Raw genomic sequence first — 4,085 nt, 5'->3', positions numbered from 1 at the left:
TGGTGAAAGCTCCATCCATATGTTTGATCCCTTCCATGAATCTGATTTTAGATTTATTCATTTTTTCATATTTTTTTTTCTGTTTCTAATTATATCTTTATTATTTCTTTTCTTCTGCCTGACTTGGCTAAACTTTTCTCTTCTTTTAATAATTTTTTTAAGGATAGGACATCAGATAATTGATTGCAGACATTTTTCTAAAAAAAAAGTAAGCATATTATCTAATAAGTATTAGAATATATTATAGAATATAAGCATTATATTATGTATATGCAATAAATTTTTTCAAAGTACTCCTGTACCTGTTTTTTTTTTTTTTTTTGAGATGGAGTTATGCTCTGTCGCCCAGGCTGGAGTGCAGTGGCTTGATCTCAACTCACTGCAACCTCTGCCTCTTGACTCACTGCAACCTCCACCTCCCGGGTTCAAGCGATTCTCCTGCCTCAGCTTCCCAAGTAGCTGGGACTACAGGCACCAAGCACCACGCCCTGCTAATTTTTGTATTTTTAATAGAGATAGGGTTTCACCATGTTGGCCAGGCTGGTGTCAAACTCCTCACCTAAAATGATCCACCGCCTCTTTGGCCTCCTGAAGTGCTGGGATTACAGGTATGAGCCACCGCGCCAGGCCCCATGTTTCTCGATTTTTGATACATTGATAATTTCATTTTCATTCAATTAAAAGTATTTCAAAATTTCCCTTCTTGCTTCTCCTCTGACCCATGAGTCATTTAGCTGATAACTTTTTAGTGTCCAAATATGTGGGCATTTTCCAGATATCTTCCTGCTGTTGATTAATGGTTTCATTATTTATAGGACTGTAGCAAGTATTATTTTAATTGTTTTAAATTCGTTAAGGTTTGTTTTACAGCTTAGAATATGTTGTATCTCTGTGGCATTCGCTGGGTACTTAAACTTCGTGCATTTTCTGCTGTCGCTTGGTGGAATGTTCTAGAAATGTCCATTGAGTCATTGATTGATTGGTTGATTGATAGTATTATTATTATTATTATTATTTTGAGACAGAGCCTCTCTCTGTCCCCCAGGCTGGAGTCCAGTGGTATGACCTCAGCCCACCACAACCTCCACCTCCCAGGTTCAAACGATTCTCGTGCCTCAGTCTCCCGAGTAGCTGGGATTACAGGTGCCCGCCAGTACGACCAGCTAATTTTTAGTAGAGAGGGGATTTCACCAGATTGGCCAGGTGGGTCTCGAACTCCTGGCCTCGAGTGATCCACCCGCCTCCGCCTCCTAAAGTGCTGGGATTACAGGTGTGAGTCACCATGCACAGGTGATAGTACTATTATTACTACTACAATTATTATTTTCAGACAGGGCCTTGCTCTGTCGCCCAGGCTGGAGTGCAGTGCTGTGATCTCGGCTCACTGCAACCTCCACTTCCCAGGCTCAAGGATCCTCCCACCTCAGCCTCCCGAGTAGCTGGAACTATAGGTGTGCACCGCCATAGCCACCTAATTCTTGTATTTTTTGTAGAGATAGAGTTTTGCCATATTGCTCAGGCTGGTCTCAAACTCCTGGACTCAAGCCATCCACTTGCCTCGACCTTCCAGAGTGCTGGGATTCCAGGCATGAGCCACCGTGCTCGGCCTAATGATTGATTGTGTTATTAAAAAGTCTCTACTTGATGTATCAATTATTGAAAGAGGAATGTTCGTGTTCCCAACTCTCAGGCGACAGAGAGAGACCGTATCTCTAAAAAGAAATGAATTATGCATTCACCTATTTCTCCTCTCAATTCTGTATCTTCTTTCGCTTTATGTATTTCGAGGATTTGTTTTGCGTTGAATACATCATCAAAATCATTTTGTCTTCTTGGTGAATTGCCCCCTTTGTCATTAGATAATGTCCCATTTTACCAGTGGTAATTGTTATTCTTCTGAAGTGTACTTTGCCTGACGTTAACAGGATCTCTCCACTGCGTTTCCGTCTTTTCTTTCTTTCTTTTTTTTTCTTTTTTTTTTGAGATAGAGTCTTGCTCTGTCACCCAGGCTGAAGTGCAGAGGCACGATCTTGGCTCACTGCAACCTCCACCTCCCGGGTTCAAGTGATTCTCCTGCTTCAGCCTCCTGAGTAGCTGGGATTACAGGCACATGCTACCACACCTGGCTAACTTTTGTATTTTTAGTAGAGATGGGGTTTCACCATGTTGTCCAGGATGGTCTCGAACTCCTGATCTTGTGATCTGCCCACCTCGGCCTCCCAAAGTGCTGGGATTACAGGCATGAGCCACCACGCCCAGCCCCATATTTTCATATTGTTGTGGTAAACTGAGGAACGGAGAGACCAATACAGAGTATAGCAGGATTTGTTTATTTTAGGTACGCACCTGCTCACAGGACTCACATCCAAAAGCTGAGCCCTGAACAAAGACAGAGCGGGGTTTTCATAAGCGGCTTTACAGAAGCAAAATAAAAGCAGTTACTCCTACAGTGGCAGGTCACGTCATCTATAGCATCACATAAGTTGTGACTGCGTAGCTGGTGGCCTTGTAACTGCATTGAAAGAAAAACAAGAACTGGCTAAATACAGACATTCATAAAGCATGATCATGCTAATTATGCTTAAGAAGGCTGGGAAAAGAGTAACAGTGAAAGCGTCTGTCTTTCTCTTTTTTCCTTCAACCTTGCTCTGGGAGGGAGGTGGGGTGTCTGGAGCCCATTCCTTTGGCCTTGGCTATTCGGACAGCATTGTCTTCTAACTGTCCTTGAAGCGAGCTGCTAGGAGAGGAAAACTTCTTTTCTTTCTAACCCTCACCTTGCCACATTCTGGGCCTTAGCGTTTACTTTTCTTGGAGTGAATAAATGCAGTACTACTACTACTTATTATTATTATTATTATTTTGAGGCAGAGTCTCGCTCTGTCGCCCAGGCTGGAGTACAGTGGCGCGATCTTGGCTCACTGCAAGCTCCACCTCCCGGGTTCACGCCATTCTCCTGCCTCAGCCTCCCCAGCAGCTGGGACTACGGGCGCCCGCCACCACGCCTGGCTAATTTTTTGTGTTTTTAGTAGAGATGGGGTTTCACCGTGTTAGCCAGGATGGTCTCGATGTCCTGACCTCGTGATCCGCCCGCTTCGGCCTCCCAAAGTGCTGGGACTACAGGCGTGAGCCACCGCGTCCAGTCCTTATTATGATTATTTTAAATTTCTGCCTCAGTATGTTTCTATTCCCGTATGTTTGCCTTTGCTACAAGGGCAAAATACGGAAAATATGTACTAAGCCTCCGTGGCTGTTTTGCAAATAGAAAACCCACAGTTGCAATGGAAAAACCCAGCGGGCTGCCGAGGTAAATAGCATCTTGGATGCTCCAGCTTGATACTAATAAAAGTAAAAATGGCAGGATTGAAAAAAAAAAAAAAAGACCAGGGTTTTCCTTTCTTGCTTGCAAACAAGGGAACCCAATAACATGTTTGGTGAAAGGGCCACATAGATTACAGCATTTGTACAAGAAAAATATTAATTCTAGCTGCTTTGCTGGGAAGATGCATTCTTTTTTTTTTTTTTTTTTTTGAGATGGAGTTTCACTCTGTTGCCCAGGCTGGAGTACAGTGGCGTGATCTCGGCTCGCTGCAACCTCCGCCTCCCGGGTTCACGCCATTCTCCTGTCTCAGCCTCCCGAGTAGCTGGGATTACAGGTGTACACCACCATGCCTGGCTAATTTTTGTATTTTTAAGTAGAGATGGAGCTTCACCATATTGGCCAGGCTGGTCTCGAACTCCTGACCTCGTGATCTGCTGGCCTCGGCCTCCCAAAGTGCTGAGATTACAGGGGTGAGCCACTGCACCCAGCCTATGCATTCATTTTTAAAAAATGAATGTATTTCCAGAAAATTTCCACAGAAATTGCAAAGTAACTGGGCCACGACGTCTTAATTTTTCCCTGCAATTGAGATGTCTGAACACATATGATTCCAGTAATTACAAAGTATATTTTAATATCCAGATGACAGGTAGCTTGAATTTTCCTCCTTGCTTGGAGGATTGTCCAAGCAATGGAGAAACCACATCGTTTCATCAAGGACTTCACCGCTGAGTCCACGAGGGGATGGCAGAGCTTGCGCTTGCAA

At 43.9% G+C, this 4,085-nt stretch overlaps 1 annotated feature.

Annotated features, from left to right (window-relative positions):
- Positions 2,477–2,976: an enhancer, noted in NCBI's record as "H3K4me1 hESC enhancer chrY:1935791-1936290 (GRCh37/hg19 assembly coordinates)". NCBI's record gives its function as "activates a minimal SCP1, AML or CMV promoter by ChIP-STARR-seq in primed H9 embryonic stem cells {active_cell/tissue: H9 hESC(primed)}" and the evidence as "EXISTENCE:reporter gene assay evidence [ECO:0000049][PMID:30033119]".

This window comes from Homo sapiens, chromosome X, assembly GCF_000001405.40.
Source record: "Homo sapiens chromosome X, GRCh38.p14 Primary Assembly".
In the NCBI taxonomy this organism is placed as follows: Eukaryota; Metazoa; Chordata; class Mammalia; order Primates; family Hominidae; genus Homo; species Homo sapiens.
The sequence above is the reverse complement of the archived record's forward strand: the minus strand, read 5'-3'. Positions and strand labels throughout refer to the sequence as shown.